The following is a 20052-nucleotide window of genomic DNA, read 5'->3' as shown; positions in this document are numbered from 1 at the left end:
TGTAAGTTCAGGGCTGATAATTTAATTTTAAATTTTTTCCACATGGAAATTGCTTTAATGAGCTTTTACGTCCCCTGCTGATAAAACAATTAGAAAAGGGAAAAGAGTTTTACAGTGCTAACAGATACAATTTCACACCACTGAATTAGGTATTAGAAATGGTGAAGTAGACTCTCCGTATGTCCGTAGGGTCTGCAAAAGTAACGTAGCGTTAATTTAATGTTCGTAACGTAATTAATGTGCCTTGAAACAAAAAAACTCATTAACTTGAGAAGCCAGTTTGTGGCCATAACACTCTCCAATGTCACCTCCTCTACCATGATCTGTGCTTAAAATTCTGCAGTACTATCTTTGGAATAAAGATGATGAGTCCAAAATACAAGCATTTCTTTTCATTGCCCTTGACAATTATCTTTTTCCTTTTTGAGACAGGGTCTTGCTCTGTCACCCAGGCTGGAGTGCAGTGCTGCAATCTCGGCTCACTGCAGCCTTGAACTTCTGGGGTCAAGAGATCCTCCCGTCGCAGCCTGTTGAGTGGCTAGGACTACAGGTGTGAGCCACCTCACCTTGCTAATTTTTAATTTTTTTTGTAGAGACAGGGTCTTGCTATGTTGCCCAGGCTGACAGTTACTTTTGTTTCCTTATTTGTTAATGTTTTTCTTTTTTTAAATCGCTCCTTGTGGAGCAGTGCTAACTCTTAGGCAGTGCAGCTGAGCTGTCAACAACTACTGTTATACAGAGAACATAAGAATGGGTAATTAGAGGAGGTAGGATATTGTTGGTGCAGCTATATTATTTAAAATTGGTGGAAGTCCAGGCCGAGCACCGCGGCTCACACGTGTGATCCCAGCGCTTTGGGAGGCCAAGGCAGGCGGATCACCTGAGGCCGGGAGTTTCAGACCAGCCTGAACAACATGGAGAAACCCCCATCTGTACTAAAAATACAAAATTAACCAGGCCTGGTGGCATATGCCTATAATTCCAGCTACTCAGGAGGCTGAAGCAGGAGAATTGCTTGAACCTGGGAGGTGGAGGTTGCCGTAAGCTGAGATCGCACTACTGCATTCCAGCCTGGGCAATAAGAGCAAAACCCCGTGTCAAAGGAAAAAAAAATTGGTGGAAGTCCTGAAACTGGTTGGGCCAAAATTTTAAAAAAAGAAAAAAATGGGCCGGGTGCAGGGGCTCATGCCTGTAATCCCAGCACTATGGGAGGCCTAGACGGATCATGAGGTCAGAAGATCGAGACCATCCTGGCTAACAGGGTGAAACCCTGTCTCTACTAAAAATACAAAAAATTAGCTGGGCGTGGTGGCAGGTGCCTGTAGTCTCAGCTACTAGGGAGGCTGAGGCAGGAGAACTGCTTGAATCTGGGACGCGGAGCTTGCAGTGAGCCAAGATTGCGCCACTACACTCCAGCCTGGGCGACTGAGCGAGACTCTGTCTCAAAAACAAAGAAAAAAATGGGGGAAGGGCATATGTTGAGACCTAAGATAGCTTTTCCAGAAGGGGCAAAAAGCCAGTCTCCCACCCTGTCGTGGAACGTGCTCTAGGGTAGTCGGTAGAGTAGGGCTTGGGTAGTGAAACAACCAGGCTGATAGCAATAACAGAGACAAGGGCTTTCCCTGGCACACTTCCCGCTGCAGCTGTGTGGGGTCTCGCCTGGCTGGCCTAGGGTTCTGCGGGTCTCCGGAAGTGAGTTCTTCCCGGCGAGAATGCAAGCTCTGCGTCTGTGCAGGGCGAGCACCTGGTCACCAGCCTCTTGAACAGTTTGTCTTCGTAATGTCCCCGTTCAAAGCAACAGCCAGTGCCTTGGGGTCTTCCTTGGTAAGCAGCTCCACATCCTGAGTAGATACACCAGCTCCAGGGCTGGCTTCTCTTGCAGTGTGGGAAGGGACTAGCTCCTCAGTGCAATTTCAGGGGAGTTTTTTTTTTTTTGGAGATGGAGTCTTGCTCTGTTGCCCAGGCTAGAGTGCAATGGCGTGATCTCGGCTCACTGCAACCTCCACCTCCCAGGTTCAAGCCATTCTTCTGCCTCACCCTCTCAGGTAACTAGGACTATAGGCATACGCCACCATGCCTATTTTTTTTTTTGTATTTTTAGTAGAGATGGGGTTTCATAAGGCTGGTCTCAAACTCCTGACCTCAAGTGATCTGCCTGCCTTGGCCTCCCAAAGTGCTGGGATCACAGGCATGAGCCACTGCGCCCGGCCCAGAGGAGGTCTTTTTGTCAAAATCATGTCTACTGCCTCTGCCTCATCACCAAAGGCTGCTTTGGACTCCTCTTGCCTTGACAAGAGGCTGCCCTCTTTCTCCAAAACCAGGAGGTACAGCTCCAGGAGCTGCCCGGACAGACCACTTCCTCTGTGAAGCACCTGCTGGAGCGCGTCCTGCGAACCTGGATGGTGGCACAGCCTTGGCTTAGTTCCTGAGCCAGATCTGAACACAGAATATGAATGAGCACGGGACAGTCTTCCTCTGATAGGAGGATGGCACTGGATGGAGCCTTGTTCAGCTGCCTGGCCACATTCTTCTGCTTCAACCATGCCCCGCTATAGTTCATCCACATCAAAGGATGCCTGGAAACCCAAGCCATATCTCCATCAGAATTGTCCTATGCCCTCGTCTCGTTATTGGTCAATGCCATACTCTTAGTATTGGAAGGCAGACACAGGAAGTAATCCTCATCACCGTGGTGCCAGCCTCTGCAGGACCAGGGTGATCAGTGGCAGGGACTTGTCAATGGCCAGGCTGTCACAGGCCTTGCTGCTCAGGTCCTCGAGGCGGGAGGTGACCACCTGTGCTGCTCACGGCTGCAGTTGCGGTGCAGCCGGCCCAGCTTTAGAGTCTGAATCTCGCCGGGTTCTCATGCCCTGGTGTCCCCAGTCACATCCATCCTTTTCAAGGTGGGACCTGACTGCCTCTGGGAAGCCGCACCCATTGTGGTTTGTTTGTTTGTTTAAATACAGTATTTCCAGCAGAGTGGACAGTACATAAGTGTTGTTCAGTACATATTTATTGAATCAATGAATGATACACAGAGGAGTTTGGTCTTGTCATTATCCAACCTGTCACCCACAGTGCGCTAAGAATGCTGTGAGGGTGTATCCAGTGCCACACTTTCTTGGGAGCCAGTCATAAAGAGGAATATATATATTTGCTCCTGAAAGCCCCACAATTTGATCACAAGCAAGTTAACAAATGCTTGCTGTTCATTGTGATGTATGATGACAGTTACCAGGTTGACCGTCATTTTGGGAGAGGGAAGAGGAAGGTGACCAGCTCACCCCGAAGGACCAGGGAGGCCCTTAGTGGTGATGGTCCAGGCAGCATGGGGGTGCTGGCACTGAGGGCGCGTGGAGGGAATGGCACAGCCCTGGACGGAGCATGGATTTGGGAACCGCTAGGATATCGAGTGCACAGTGGCTTCCAGAGGAGGCAGGGCTGGAGAGCAAGGTGGATTCAGATGTGGAGATGTTCTGTGAATGTGAGGAGGAGTCATTGAAATTGTTTAGCCAGGAGCAGCCATTTGGGGAATTTGAATTTTAGAAACAGCTTATTGCCAGCAATATGGATGAACTGAGTAGGAAACGGATGTTTTGCGAGCGCGAGTGGAGGAGGCTGCCGAGGGCAGTAGGGCTGACTATGACCAGGAAGACAAACAGGAGTGAGAGGCGTGGACATCGGCTGCCTGCCTGGCCCCTCGTGCCCACCCCCCAGGCAGAGTCTCAGCTCCCAGAAACTGGCGCTCCATGCCGGGGTCCTGTGCTGTGCAGAGAGTGGGGAAGGTTGGGCGAAGGCTGGAGACCTTGAGACGGGGCAGGCGGCCCAGAAAGGGGAGGCTCATGGAGCGGCTTTGCTCTTCCTCTTGTGGCCTGCACACGGAGGGCCCCTCGGAGGAGGGAAACCGAGGGCAAGGCTGTGAGCACCAGGCTGCCACTGGGGAGGACCAGAGCCACAGCAGCCCACGCACAGGGCGGCGTGTCATGAATGTTGTCTGAATCTTCAGAGACTCTTGACTGTGCAGAAATGTGGTGTTGGTATAAAATTGAATTTTTCACACTCGAAATTGTTACAGACCATAGCAGTGTAATGAGGTCATTTGGAAATGGATTTCCATCTGCACTGGACCCTAATTGTTCGGGAAAAATCCATTTAGCCCATTTTAAACTGCAGTGGAGGCTGCATGGAGAACTCCCCAGAATTGAAGCTGCACCCTGTGGCTGGATGCCAATGCTTAGAGCGGTCCTCTCCGAAATCTTTTCTTTCCCAGCCCAACATCTGTGCATTGCTCCTCACCTTCACTAAGACGCAAGTAGCAATTCTCGGGACATATTAAGTGATGCTAACTTAAGAACTCACAATATTAAAAATAAGGAGCAGAACTCTTTCCAGTGTTCTAATTTTAAAAAGCCAACTTCATTTAAAATCTCAAATAATGGAAAAGAAGCTGAAAACATTCAAATTGTTGGATCTGAAATTTTCTCATCATCGCCTCTTGTTTTGTTGCTGATTTTAATTAATATAACTTTTTTTTTTTAGCAGTTTAGGTTCACAGAAAAATTGGGCAGAAAGTACAGGGAATTCTCTTATACTGCCTCACTCTGACCTCCATTTCCCCCCTTGTTAATATCTTGCATTGGTGTGGTATGTTTTATTATTGATTTTACAATTTCACATTAATATTAACTAAAGTCCATAGTTTACCTGTGGGTTCACTGTTGGTGTACGTTCTGTGGGTTTGGAAAATGTGTAATGACACGGATCTACCGTGACGGTATCCACAGAATAGTTTCACTGCCGTAAACATCCTCTGTGCTCTGCCTGCCCCCCCACACCCCGCCCCCACCTGCCCTCCAGCTGCCCTAACTCCTACCAACCACTGATCTTTATACTGTCTCCATAGTTCCACCTTTTCCAGAAGGTCATGCAGATGGAGTCACACAGTGGGTAGCCTTTTCAGGTTGACTTCTTTCACTTAGTAATAAGCATTTCATGTCCCCCATGTCTTTTCATGGCTTGATAGCTCATTTTTAAAAAGTGCTCAATAATATTGCATTGTCTGGATGCACCAGAGTTTATTTTTCAGTTCTGGGATATGTGTGCGGAACAGGCAGGTTTGTTACATAGGTGTACATGTGCCATGGTGGTTGCTGCACCTATCAACCCGTCATCTAGGTTTTAAGCCCCACATGCCTTAGGTATTTGTCCTAATGCTCTCCCTCCGCACCCACCAACAGGCCCCAGTGTGTGATGTTCCCCTTCCTGTGTCCATGCGTTCTCATTGTTCAACTCCCACTTATGAGTGAGAACATGCAATGTTTCGTTTTCTGTTCCTGTGTTAGTTTGCTGAGAATGGTTTCCAGCTTCATCCGTGTCCCTGCAAAGGACATGAACTCATTCTTTTTTATGGTTGCATAGTATTCCATGGCATATATGTGCCACATTTTCTTTATACAGTCTGTCAATGATGGGCATTTGGGTTGGTTCCAAGTCTTTGCTATTGTGGATAGTACTGCAATAAACATATGTATGTATGTATCTTTATAGCAGAATGATTTATAATCCTTTGTGTATATACCTGGTAATGTGATTGCTGGGTCAAATGCTATTTCTGGTTCTAGATCCTTGAGGAATTGCCACACTGTCTTCCAAAATGCTTGAACTAATTTACACTCCCATCAACAGTGTAAAAGCGTTCCTATTTCTCCACATCCTCTCCAGCATCTGTTGTTCCCTGATTTTTTAATAATCATCAGTCTAACTGGCATGAAATGGTATCTCATTGTGGTTTTGATTTGCATTTCTTTAATGACCAATGATGATGAGCTTTTTTTCATATGTTTGTTGGCTGCATAAATGTCTTCTTTTGGGAAGTGTCTGTTCATATACTTCGCCCACTTTTCGATGAGGTTTTTTTTTCCTTATAAATTTAAGTTCCTTGCAGATTCTAGATATTAGCCTTTTGTCAGATGGATAGATTGCAAAAATTTTCTGCCATTCTGTACGTTGCCTGTTCACTCTAATGATAGGTTCTTTTGCTGTGCAGAAGCTCTTTAGTTTAATTAGATCCCATTTGTCAATTTTGGCTTTTGTTGCCATTACTTTTGGTGTTTTATTCACAAAGTCTTTGCCCATGCCTATGTCCTGAATCGTATTGCCTAGGTTTTCTTCTCGGATTTTTATGGTTTTAGGTTTTACATTTAAGTCTTTAATCCATCTTGAGTTAATTTTTGTATAAGGTGCAAGGAATGGTTCCAGTTTGTTTGCTGCATATGGCTAGCCAGTTTTCCCAGCACCATTTATTAAATAGGGAATCGTTTCCCCATTGCTTGTTTTTGTCAGGTTTGTTGAAGATCAGATGGTTGTAGATGTGGCATCACGATTCATTCACCCACAGAAAGACATCCTGGCTGCTTCCAGGTTTTGGCAATTATGAATGTAAACATTTCTATGCAGGTGTTTGTGTGGACACAAGTTTTTAACTCCTTTGTGTAGACACCAAGGAGCACAATTCCTGGGTTGAATGGAAAGTTCAACTAGAAATGTCTAAGCACTGTCCGTGCTCCAGGCCGGGTTGTGCCGATGTGAGAGCTGCTCTATCTAAAAGTCCTGGATCTGAATCCGTTTTTAGGCCTAGAGATGGGGGAGCTCAGGAGGGCAGTACGTCTCCAGATGAGACTGATATGTGGATAGACATTTCAACAGGTAAGACTACCCAGTTACCAACTTCAAGGAGTGGTAGTTCTCCTGGTTTAAGGTCTGCTGTGGGAATTAGATAGGGATCAAAATTTAGGTCTTCATACTCTGCATTTTAATAGCTTCAGTATAATATTTATGTTTATGAGACACTGCCAAACTGTCTTCCAAAGTGCCTGCACCGTTTTGCATTCCCACCAGCAGCAAACGAGGGCACCTGTTACTCTGCATCCTTATTGGTGTTTGGAGTTGTCAGTGTTTTGAATAGCAGACATGCTCATAGGTGTGTGGTGGTGTCTCACTGTGGTTTTAATTTGCATTTCCTTGATGGCATGTGATGTCCTTTTATATGCCTTATTTGCCTTCTGGATATTTTCTTGATGAGGTGTCTCCTTAGGTCTTCATCAATTATTATTATTATTACTATTATTATTATTTTGAGATGGCGTTCTGTTCTGTCACCCAGGCTGGAGTGCAATGGCATGAACTTGGCCCACTGCAACCTCTCCCTCCCGGGTTCAAACGATTCTCCTGCCTCAGCCTCCTGAGTTGCTGGGACTACAGGTACCCGCCACCATGCCCGGCTAATTTTTTGTATTTTTAGTAGAGACAGGGTTTCACCATGCTGGCCAGGCTGGTCTCGAATTCCTGACCTCAGGTGATGTTCCCGCCTCACCCTCCCAAAGTGCTGGGATTACAGGCATGAGCGACCATGCCTCTTTGCCAATTTTTAAATTCGGTTATTTGTTTTCTTACTGTTGAGTTTTAAGAGCTGTTTGTATATTTTGGATGCCAGTCTTTTATTAGATAAATGTTTTGCAAATATTTTCTCCCAGTCTGTGGTTTGTCAATTCATTTTCTGAACACAGTCTTTCAAATGAATAGATGGGTTTTAAAATTTTAATGAATTCGAACTTATCAATCCTTTCGTTAATGGATCATGCCTTTGATGTTGTATCTAAAAGATCACCACCAAACTAGAGGTCACCTAGATGTTCTCCTATGTTATCTTCTGGAAGTTTTATAGCTTTGCATTTTACATTTAGGTCTATGATCTATTTTTTATTTTAAAATTTTCTATATTTTTACTTTTTATTTTTTTGAGACAGGGTCTTGCTTTGTCATCCATGCTGGAGTACAGTGGTGTGATCTTGGCTCACTGTAGCATCGACCTCCTGGGCTCAAGCGATCCTCCTGCTTCAGCCTCCCAAGTAGCTGGGACTATAGGTGCCGCCACCACACCTGGCTAATTGTATTTATTTTTTGTAGAGTCAGGGTGTCTCTATGTTGCCCAAGCTGGTCTCACATTCCTGGGCTCAAGTGATTCTCCCACCTCAAACTCCCAAAGTGCTGGGATTACAGGAGTGAACCACTGTGCCAGCCAGGCCATGATCCATTGTTAATAAGACTTTGTGAAAGGTCTAAAGTCTAAATCTAGATTCTTTTTTTTTGTCTGTGGCTGTCCAGCTGTTCTAGCACTATTTGTTTAAAAAACGATCTTTTCAGCACTGACTTGCATTTGTTCCTTTGTCAAAGATCAGTTGACTACATTCATGTGGGTCTGTTTCTGGGTTCTCAATTCTGTTTCATTGATCTGGTCTGTTATTTAGCAAATCACACACCATCCTGATTGCTGTGGTGTTAGAGTCAGACTCGAAGGTGGGAAGTGTCACTCCTCTGACTTTGTTTTCCTCCCTCCCTATTTTGTTGGCTGTTCTGGGTCTTTGCCTCTCCATATAAACTTTAGAATCCGTTTGTCAACAGTCACAAGGTAACTTGCTGGGATTTTTATTGCAGTTGCATTAAAGATGTTTTGAAATTTCAGATTCCAATTGTTAATGGCTTCTATGTAAGAAAGCAATTGATTTTTCATATTAACTTTTTATCCTGCAACCTAGCTGTAATTGCTTTTGGTTCCATGAGTGTTTTTTTGTTGTTGTTGTTTCTTTGGTATTTTCTACAGACAATTGTCATCTGTAAACAAAGACAGATTTTTAATCTCTTCCCAATGCGTGTGCCTCGTCTTTCCTTTCCTTGCTTTATTGTGTTAGCTGGGATCTTCAGTGTGATGATGAACAGTAGTGGTGAGAGGGATGTTCCTGCCCTGTTCCTGATCCTACTGGGGAGCCTTCCAGTTTCTCATAATTAAATAGGGTGCTTGTTGTAGACTTTTGCAGATGCAGATTTTTTTTTTTTTTTTTTTTTTTTTTTTTTTGAGACGGGGTCTCGCTCTCTCTCCCAGCCTGCAGTGCAGTGGCGCGATCTCAGCTCACTGCAAGCTCAGCCTCCCGGGTTCACGCCATTCTCCTGCCTCAGCCTCCCGAGTAGCTGGGACTACAGGCACTGGCCACCACGCCCGGCTAATTTTTTGTATTTTTAGTAGAGATGGGGTTTCACCATATTAGCCAGGATGGTCTCGATCTCCTGACTTCGTGATCCGCCCGCCTCAGCCTCCCAAAGTGCTGGGATTACAGGCGTGAGCCACCGCGCCCGGCTGATGTTCTTTATCAAGTTGAGAAAGTACCCTTTATTCCGAGTTTGCTGAGACTCTTCACTGTGAATGGTGTTGGGTTCTGCCAAATGCTTTTTCTGTATCTACTGATAAAATTTATGATTTTTTTCTTTAGCCTGTTGATGTGGTGATTACATTAATTGATTTTCAAATGTTTATAACAGTCTTGTGTACTGGGGATAAATCCCTCTTGGTTGTGGTATACAATTCTTTTTACATATCGTTGCGCTTGATTTGTTATTTTTGGGTTTTTCTTTTTTTGAGGATTTTGCATCTATGTTCCTGAGACATACTGATTTTAGAATTCCTTTCTTTTAATATCTTTGTTTGGCTTTGGTTTTAGGGGAATCCTGGCCTCAGAATGAGTTAGGAAGTAGTACCTCTGCTTCTATTTTCTAAAAGACATTATGGAGAATTGGTGTGATTCTTATAGTTACTGGTGAGTTTGGTGGAACTCAACAGTGACCTCATCTGGGATGGGTGCTTTCTGTTTGGGAAGAAGGTTATTTAATTTCTTTAATAAATACAGTCCTATTCAGAATACATATTTCCACTTAGGTGTGTTTTGTTGGATTGTATCTTCCTAGGAATTGGTTCATTTCGTCTACGTTATCAAGTTTATAGACATTAGTTGTTTATACAATTCATTTTTTTTTTGAAACAGGTTCTCTCTCAATCACCCAGGCTGGAATGCAGGGGTGCAATCGGGGTTCACTGCAGCCTTGACCTAGTAGCTGGGACTGCAGCTACTATATCAGGTGCATGCACCAGAATCAGGTGCTTGCTACTACACCAGGCTAATTTTTTTAGATTATACTTTAAGTTCTGGGGCACATGAGCAGAACGTGCAGTTTTGTTACATAGGTATACATGTGCCATAGTGGTTTCTGCATCCATCAACCCATCATCTACATTAGGTGTTTCTCCTAATGCTATCTCTCCTCTAGCCCCCACCCACCGACAGGCCCTGATGTGTGATGTTCCCCTCCCTGTGTCCATGTGTTCTCATTGTTCATCTCCCACTCATGAGTAAGAACATGAGGTGTTTGGTTTTCTGTTCTTGTGTTAGTTGCTGAGAATGATGGTGTCCAGCTTCATCCCTGTCCCTGCAAATGACATTAACTCATCCTTTTTTATGGTTGCATATTATTCCATGGTGTATATGTATCACATTTTCTTTATCCAGTCTATCATTTGTGGGCATTTTGGTTAGTTCCAAGTCTTCGTTATTGTGAATAGCGCCGCAATAAACATACGTGTGAATGCACCTTTATAGTAGAAAGATGTATAATCCTTTGTGTGTATACCCAGTAATGGGATTGCTGGGTCAAATGCTATTTCTGCTTCTAGATCCTTGAGGAATCGCTACAGTATCTTCCACAATGGTTGAACTAATTTATACTCCCACCAACAGTGTAAAAGCATTCCTATTTCTCCACATCATCTCTGACATCTGTTTCCTGCCTTTTTAATGATCACCGTTCTAACTGGCGTGAGATGGTACCTCATTGTGGTTTTGATTTGCATTTCTCTAGTGATCAGTGATGGTGAGCTTTTTTTCAATGTTTTTTGGCCGCATAAATGTCTTCTTTTGAGAAGTATCTGTTCCTATCTCCCACCTGTTGATGGAGTGGTTTGTTTTTTTCTTGTAAATTTGTTATAGTTCTTTGTAGATTCTGGATATTAGCCCTTTGTCATATGGATAGAATGCAAAAATTTTCTGCCATTCTGTAGGTTGCCTGTTCACTCTGATGATAGGTTCTTTTGCTGTGCAGAAGCTCTTTAGTTTAATTAGATCCCATTTGTTAATTTTGGCTTTACTTGCCCTTGCTTTTGGTGTTTTATTCACCAAAACTTTTTGCCCATGCCTATGTCCTGAGTGGTGTTGCCTAGGTTTTCTTCTAGGGTTTTTATGGTTTTAGGTTTTACATTTAAGTCGTTAATCCATCTTGAGTTAATTTTTGTATAAAGTGTAAGGAAGGGGTCCAGTTTCAGTTTTGTGCATATGACTAGGTAGTTTTCCTAGCACTATTTATTAATTAGAGAATCCTTTCCCCATTTCTTGTTTTTGTCAAGTTTGTCAAAGATCAGATGGTTTTAGATGTGTGGTGTTATTTCTGAGGGCTCTGTTCTGTTCCATTTGTCTATATCTGTTTTGGTACCAGTACCATGCTCTTTTGGTTACTGTAGCCTTGTAGTATAGTTTGAAGTCAGGTAGTGTGATGCCTCCAGCTTTGTTCTTTTTGCTTGTGATTGTCTTGGCTATGTGGGCTCCTTTTTGGTTCCATATGAAATTTAAAGTAGTTTTTTCCAATTCTGTGAAGAAAGTCAATGGTAGCTTGATGGCCATAGCATTGAATCTGTAAATTACCTTGGGCAGTATGGCCATTTTCCCGATATTGATTCCTGCTATCCATGAGCATGGAATGTTGTTCCATTTATTTGTGTCCTCTCTCATTTTCTTGAGCAGTGGTTTGTAGTTCTTCTTGAAGAGGTCCTTCACATCCCTTGTAAGTTGGATTCCTAGGTATTTTATTCTCTTGGTAGCAATCGTGAGTGAGAGGTCACTCATGATTTGGCTGTCGTTTGTCTGTTATTGGTGTATAGGAATGCTTGTGATTTTTGAATATGGATTTTGTATCCTTAGACTTTGCTGAAGTTGCTTATCAGCTTAAGGAGATTTTGGGCTGAGACGATGGGGTTTTCTAAATATACAGTCATGTCATCTGCAAACAGAGACAATTTGACTTCCTCTTTTCCTAATTGAGTACCCTTTATTTCTTTCTCTTACGTGATTGCCCTGGTCAGAACTTCCAATACTATGTTGAATAGGAGTGGTTAGAGAAGGAAGCCTTATTTTGTGCTGGTTTTCTTTTTTTTTTTTTTTCTTTTTCTTTTTTTTTAAATTATACTTTAAGTTTTAGGGTATATGTGCACAACGTGCAGGTTTGTTACATATGTAAACATGTGCCATGTTGGTGTGCTGCACCCATTAACTCATCATTTAGCATTAGGTGTATCTCCTAATGCTATCCCTCCACCCTCCCCCAACCCCACAACAGGCCCCGGTGTGTGATGTTCCCCTTCCTGTTTCCATGTGTTCTCATTGTTCAATTCCCACCTATGCATGAGAACATGCAGTGTTTGTTTTTTTATCCTTGCAATAGTTTGCTCAGAATGATGGTTTCCAGCTTCATCCATGTCCCTACAAAGGACATGAAGTCATCATTTTTTATGGCTGCATAGTATTCCATGGTGTATATTTGCCACATTTTCTTAATCCAGTCTATCATTGTTGGACATTTGGGTTGGTTCCAAGTCTTTGCTATTGTGAATAGTGGCGCAATAAACATATGTGTGCATGTGTCTTTATAGCATCATGATTTATAATCCTTTGGGTATATACCCAGTAATGGGATGGCTGGGTCAAATGGTATTTCTAGTTCTAGATCCCTGAGGAATCACCACACTGACTTCCACAATGGTTGAACTAGTTTACAGTCCCACCAACAGTGTAAAAGTGTTCCTATTTCTCCACATCCTCTCCAGCACCTGTTGTCTCCTGACTTTTTAATGATCACCATTCTAACTGGTGTGAGATGGTATCTCACTGTGGTTTTGATTTGCATTTCTCTGATGGCCAGTGATGATGAGCATTTTTTCATGTGTCTTTTGGCTGCATAAATGTCTTCTTTTGAGAAGTGTCTGTTCATATCCTTTGCCCACTTTTTGATGGGGTTGTTTGTTTTTTTTCTTGCAAATTTGTTGGAGTTCATTGTAGATTCTGGATATTAGCCCTTTGTCAGATGAGTAGATTGCAAAAATTTTCTCCCATTCTGTAGGTTGCCTGTTTACTCTGATGGTAGTTTCTTTTGCTGTTCAGAAGCTCTTTAGTTTAATTAGATCCCATTTGTCAATTATGGCTTTTGTTGCCATTGCTTTTGGTGTTTTAGACATGAAGTCCTTGCCCATGCCTATGTCCTGAATGGTAATGCCTAGGTTTTCTTCTAGGGTTTTTATGATTTTAGATCTAACATTTAAGTCTTTAGTCCGTCTTGAATTAATTTTTGTATAAGGTGTAAGGAAGGGATCCAGTTTCAGCTTTCTACATATGGCTAGCCAGTTTTCCCAGCACCATTTATTAAATAGGGAGTCCTTTCCCCATTGCTTGTTTTTGTCAGGTTTGTCAAAGATCAGATGGTTGTAGATATGTGGCATTATTTCTGAGGGCTCTGTTCTGTTCCATTGGTCTATATCTCTGTTTTGGTACCAGTACCATGCTGTTTTGGTTACTGTAGCCTTGTAGTATAGTTTGAAGTCAGGTAGCGTGATGCCTCCAGCTTTGTTCTTTTGGCTTAGGATTGACTTGGCAATGCGGGCTCTTTCTTGGTTCCATATGAACTTTAAAGTAGTTTTTTCCAATTCTGTGAAGAAAGTCATTGGTAGCTTGATGGGGATGGCATTGAATCTATAAATTACCTTGGGCAGTATGGCCATTTTCATGATATTGATTCTTCCTACCCATGAGCATGGAATGTTCTATGTGTTTGTATCCTCTTTTATTTCATTGAGTAGTGGTTTGTAGTTCTCCTTGAAGAGGTCTTTCACATCCCTTGTAGTTGTATTCCTAGGTATTTTATTCTCTTTGAAGCAAACGTGAATGGGAGTTCACTCATGATTTGGCTCTCTGTTTGTCTGTTATTGGTGTATAAGAATGCTTGTGATTTTTGCACATTGATTTCGTATCCTGAGACTTTGCTGAAGTTGCCTATCAGCTTAAGGAGATTTTGGGCTGAGACAGTGGGGTTTTCTAGATATACAATCATGTCATCTGCAAACAAGGACAATTTGACTTCCTCTTTCCCTAATTGAATACCCTTTATTTCCTTCTCCTGCCTGATTGCCCTGGCCAGAACTTCCAACACTCTGTTGAATAGGAGTGGTGAGAGAGGGCATCCTTGTCTTGTGCCAGTTTTCAAAGGGAATGCTTCCAGTTTTTGTCCATTCACTATGATATTGGCTGTGGGTTTGTCATAGATAGCTCTTATTATTTTGAGATATGTCCCATCAATACCTAGTTTATTGAGAGCTTTTAGCACGAAGGGTTGTTGAATTTTGTCAAAGGCCTTTTCTGCATCTATTGAGATAATCATGTGGTTTTTGTCTTTGGCTCTGTTTAATATGCTGGATTACATTTATTGATTTGCGTATATTGAACCAGCCTTGCTTCCCAGGGATGAAGCCCACTTGATCATGGTGGATAAGCTTTTTGATGTGCTGCTGGATTCGGTTTGCCAGTATTTTATTGAGGATTTTTGCATCGATGTTGATCAGGGATATTGGTCTAAAATTCTCTTTTTTTGTTGTGTCTCTGCCAGGCTTTGGTATCAGGATGATGCTGGCCTCATAAAATGAGTTAGGGAGGATTCCCTCTTTTTCTATTGATTGGAATAATTTCAGAAAGATGGTACCAGCTCCTCTTTGTACTTTTGGTAGAGTTCGGCTGTGAATCCATGTGGTCCTGGACTTTTTTTAGTTGGTAGGCTATTAATTATTGCTTCAATTTCAGACCCTGTTATTGGTCTGTTCAAGGGTTCAACTTCTTCCTGGTTTAGTCTTGGGAGAGGGTATGTGTCGAGCAATTTATCCATTTCTTCTAGATTTTCTAGTTTATTTGCATAGAGGTGTTTATAGTATTCTCTGATGGTAGTTTGTATTTCTGTGGGATCGGTGGTGATATCCCGTTTATCATTTTTTATTGTGTCTATTTGATTCTTCTCTCTTTTCTTCTTTATTAGTCTTGCTAGTGGTCTATCAGTTTTGTTGATCTTTTCAAAAAAAACAGCTCCTGGATTCATTGATTTTTTTGAAGGGTTTTTTTGTGTCTCTATTTCCTTCAGTTCTGCTCTGATTTTAGTTATTTCTCGCCTTCTGCTAGCTTTTGAATGTGTTTTCTCTTGCTTCTCTAGTTCTTTTAATTGTGATGTTAGGGTGTCAATTTTAGATCTTTCCTGCTTTCTCTTGTGGGCATTTGGTGCTATAAATTTCCCTCTACACACTGTTTTGAATGTGTCCCAGAGATTCTGGTATGTTGTGTCTTTGCTCTCATTGGTTTCAAAGAACATCTTTATTTCTGCCTTCATTTCGTTATGTACTCAGTAGTCATTCAGGAGCAGGTTGTTCAGTTTCCATGTAGTTGAGCGGTTTTGAGTGAGTTTCTTAATCCTGAGTTCTAGTTTGATTGCACTGTGGTCTGAGAGACAGTTTGTTATAATTTCTGTTCTTTAACATTTGCTGAGGAGTTCTTTACTTCCAACTATGTGGTCAATTTTGGAATAGGTGTGGTGCTGAAAAGAATGTATATTCTGTTGATTTGGGGTGGAGAGTTCTGTAGATGCATCAACTAACAAGCAAAATAACCAGCTGGCATCATAATGACAGGATCAAATTCACACATAACAATATTAACCTTAAATGTAAATGGGCTAAATGCTCCAATTAAAAGACATAGACTGGCAAATTGGATAAAGAGTCAAGACCCATCAGTGTGCTGTATTAAGGAAACCCATCTCATGTGCAGAGACACACATAGGCTCAAAATAAAGGGATGGAGGAAGATCTACCAAGAAAATGGAAAACAAAAAAAGGAAGGGGTTGCAATCCTAGTCCCTGATAAAACAGACTTTAAACCAACAAAAATCAAAAGAGACAAAGAAGGCCATTACATAATGGTAAAGGGATCAATTCAACAAGAAGAGCTAACTATCCTAAATATATATGCACCCAATACGGGAGCACCCAGATTCATAAAGGAAGTCCTTAGAGACCTACAAAGAGACTTAGACTCCCACACAATAATAATGGGAGACTTTAACACCCCACTGTCAACATTAGACAGATCAATGAGACAGAAAGTTCACAAGGATATCTAGGAATTGACCTCAGCTCTGCACTAAGTGGACCTAATAGACGTCTTGTGCTGGTTTTCAAAGGGAATGCTTACAGTTTTTGGTCATTCAGTATGATATTGGCTGTGGGTTTGTCATAAAAAGCTCTTATTATTTTGAAATACATTCCATCAATACCTAGTTTATTGAGAGTTTCTAGCATGAAGCGCTGTGGAATTTTGTTGAAGGCCTTTTCTGCATCTATTGAGCTGATCATGTGTTTTTTGTCATTGTTTCTGTTTGTGATGAATTACGTTTATTGATTTGCGTTTGTTGAACCAGCCTTGCATCCCAGGGATGAAGCCGACTTGATCGTAGTGGATTAGCTTTTTAATGTGCTACTGGATTAGGTTTCACAGTATTTTATTGATGATTTTTCTATCGATGTTTATCAGGGATATTGGTCTAAAATTCTCTTTTTTTGTTGTGTCTCTGCCAGGTTTTGGTATCAGGATGATGCTGGCCTCTTAAAATGAGTTAGGGAGGATTCCCTCTTTTTCTATTGTTTTGAATAGTTTCAGAAGGAATAGTACCTGCTCCTCTTTGTACCTCTGGTAGAATTCGGCTGTGAATCTTTCTGGTCCTCGACTTCTTTTGGTTGGAAGGCTATTAATTATTGCCTCAATTTCAGAACTTGTTATTGGTCTATTCAGGGATTTGACTTCTTCCTGGTTTAGACTTGGGAGAGTGTATGTGTCCCAGAATTTATCCATTTCTTGTAGATTTTCTAGTTTATTTGCATAGAGGTGTTTATAGTATTCTCTGATGTTAGTTTGTATTTCTGTGGTATCAGTGGTGATATCCCCTTTATCATTTTTTATTCTGTCTATTTGATTCTTTTCTCTTCTTTATTAGTCTTGCTAGCAGTCTATCTATTTTGTTGATCTTTTCAAAAAACCAGCTCCTGGATTCATTTTTTTGAAGGCGTTTTCGTGTCTCTATCTCTTTCAGTTCTGCTCTGATCTTAGTTATTTCTTGTCCCTGCTAGCTTTTGAATTTGTTTGCTCTTGCTTCTCTAGTTCTTTTAATTGTGATGTTAGGGTGTCAATTTTAGATCTTTGCTGCTTTCTCTTGTGGGCATTTAGTGCTACAAATTTCCCTCTAGGCAGGGCACAGTGTCTCATGCCTGTAATCCTGGTACTTTGGGAGGCCAAAGTGGGCAGATCACGAGTTCAGGAGATTGAGACCATCCTGGCTAACATGGTGAAACCCTGTCTCTACTAAAAATACAAAAAAATTAGCTGGGCATGGTGGTAGGCGCCTGTAGTCCCAGCTACTCGGGAAGCTGAGGCAGGAAAATGGCGTGAACTTGGGAGGCAGAACTTGCAGTGTGAGCTGGGATCGTACTGCTGAACTCCTGCATGGAGGCGACAGAGCAAGACTCTGCCTCAAAAAAAAAAAAAAAAAAAAGTACCTCTAAACACTGCCTGAAATATGTCCCATAGATTCTGGTACGTTGTCTTTGTTCTCATTGGTTTCAAGGAACATCTTTATTTCTGCCTTAATTTTGTTATTTACCAAGTAGTCTTTCAGGAGCAGGTTGTCCAGTTTCCATGTAGTTGTGTGGTGCAGTTTTGAGTGAGTCCTTTTTTTTTTTTTTTTTTTTTTGAGATGGAGTTTCCCTCTTGTTGCCCAGGCTGGAGTGCAATGGCGTGATCTCAGCTCACTGCAACTTCTGCCTCCTGGGTTCCAGTGATTCTCCCACCTTGGCCTCCCGAGTAGCTGGGATTACAGGCATGTGCCACCATGTCCAGCTAAGTTTTTTTTTTTTTTTTTTTTTATTATTATTATTAGAGATGGGGTTTCTCCACATTGGTCAGGCTTGTCTCGAACTCCCGACCTCAGGTGATCTGCCTGCCCCGGACCTCCCAAAGTGCTGGGATGACAGGCGTGAGCCACTGCGCTTGGCCATTGAGTGAGTTTCTTAATCCTGAGTTCTAATTTGATTGCATTGTGGTCAGAGAGGCCGTTTGTTATGACTTCCATCCTTTTGCATTTGCTGAGGAGTGTTTTACTTCCAATTATGTGGTTAATTTTAGAATAAGCATAATGAGATGCTGACAAGAATGTGTATTCTATTGATTTGGGGTGGAGAGTTCTGTAGATGTCTATTAGGTCTGCTTGGTCCAGATCTGAGTTCAGGTCCTGAATATCCTAGTTAATTTTCCGTCTCATTGATCTGTCTGATATTGACAGTGGAGTGTTAGACTCCCACACAATAATATGGGAGATTTTAAGTCTCTTTGTAGGTCTCTAAGAACTTGCTTTATGAATCTGCGTGCTCCTGTATTGGGTGCTTATATATTTAGGATAGTTAGCTCTTGGTGAATTGATCCCTTTACCATTATGTAATACCTTTCTTTGTCTCTTTTCATCTCTGTTGGTTTAAAGTCTGTTTTATCAGAGACTAGGATTGCAACCCCTGCCTTTTTTTGCTTTCCATTTTCTTCGTTAATATTCCTCCATCTGTTTATTTTGAGCCTATGTGTGTCTTTGCACATGAGATGGGTCTCCTGAATACAGCACACTGATGGGTCTTGACTCTTTATCCAATTTGCCAGTCTGTGTCTTTTAATTGGGGCATTCAGTCCATTTACGTTTAAGGTTAATATTGTTATGTGTGAATTTGATCCTGTCATTATGATGCTAGCTGGTTATTTTGCTCATTAGTTTATGCAGTTTCTTTGTAGTGTTGATGGTCTTTACAATTTTTTTTTTTTTTTTGAGATGGAGTCTTGCTCTGTTGCCCAGGCTGGAGTGCAGTGCTGCAGTCTCGGCTCACTGAAAGCTCCACCTCCTGGGTTCACGCCATTGTCCTGCCTGACCCTACCAAGAAGCTGGGACTACAGACGCCTGCCACCATGCCCGGTTAATTTTTTTGTATTTTTAGTAGAGATGGGGTTTCACTGTGTTAGCCAGGTTGGTCTCGATCTCCTGACCTCGTGTTCTGCCTGTCTCAGCCTTCCAAAGTGCTGGCATTACAGGTGTCAGCCACTGCACCTGGCCACAATTTGGTATGTTTCTGCAATGGCTGGTACTGGTGGTTCCTTTCCATGTTTAGTGCTTCCTTCAGGAGCTCTTGTAAGGCAGGCCTGGTGATGACAATATCTCTCAGCATTTGCTTGTCTGTAAAGGATTTTATTCATCCTTTGCTTATGAAACTTAGTTTGGCTGGATATGAAATTCTGGTTGAAAATTCTTTTCTTTAAGAATGTTGAACATTGGCCCCACTCTCTTCTGGCTTGTAGGGTTTCTGCAGAGAGATCCACTGTTAATCTGATGGGCTTCCCTTTGTGGGTAGTCTGACCTTTCTCTCTGGCTGCCCTTAAGATTTTTTTCCTTCATTTCAACCTTGGTGAATCTGATGTTAATGTGTCTTGGGGTTGCTCTTCTCCAGGAGTATCTTTGTCGTGTTCTCTGTATTTCCTGAATTTGAATGTTGGCCTGTCTTGCTAGTTTGGGGAAGTTCTCCTGGATAATATCCTGAAGAGTATTTCCCAACTTGGTTCCATTCTCCCCGTCACTTTCAGGTACACTAATCGAACTTAGATTTGGTCTTTTCACGTAGTCCCATATTTCCTGGAGGCTTTGTTTGTTCCTTTTCATTCTTTTTTCTGTGATCTTGTCTTCTCACTTTATTTCATTTCGTTGATCTTTAATCTCTGATATCCTCTCTTCCATTTGATCGATTCGGCTATTGATACTTGTATATGCTTCACGAAGTTCTCATGCTGTGGTCTTCAGCTTCATCAGGTCATTTATGTTCTTCTCCACACTGGTTATTCTAGTTAGCAATTCCTCTAACCTTTTTTCCAGGTTCATAGCTTCCTTGCTTTGGGTTAGAACATGCTCCTTTAGCTCAGAGGAGTTTGTTACCCACCTTCTGAAGCCTACTTC

General features: G+C 42.1%; 1 pseudogene; it reads right to left on the bottom strand.

The window, feature by feature from the left end:
* LOC100130321 (DNA fragmentation factor subunit alpha pseudogene) lies at window positions 2195–2932 on the bottom strand (annotated as a pseudogene).

The sequence above is a fragment of the Homo sapiens genome, chromosome 8, assembly GCF_000001405.40.
Source record: "Homo sapiens chromosome 8, GRCh38.p14 Primary Assembly".
NCBI classification, from domain to species: Eukaryota; Metazoa; Chordata; class Mammalia; order Primates; family Hominidae; genus Homo; species Homo sapiens.
Note: the sequence above shows the minus strand (reverse complement) of the source record. Positions and strands in the feature narration are given on the sequence as shown.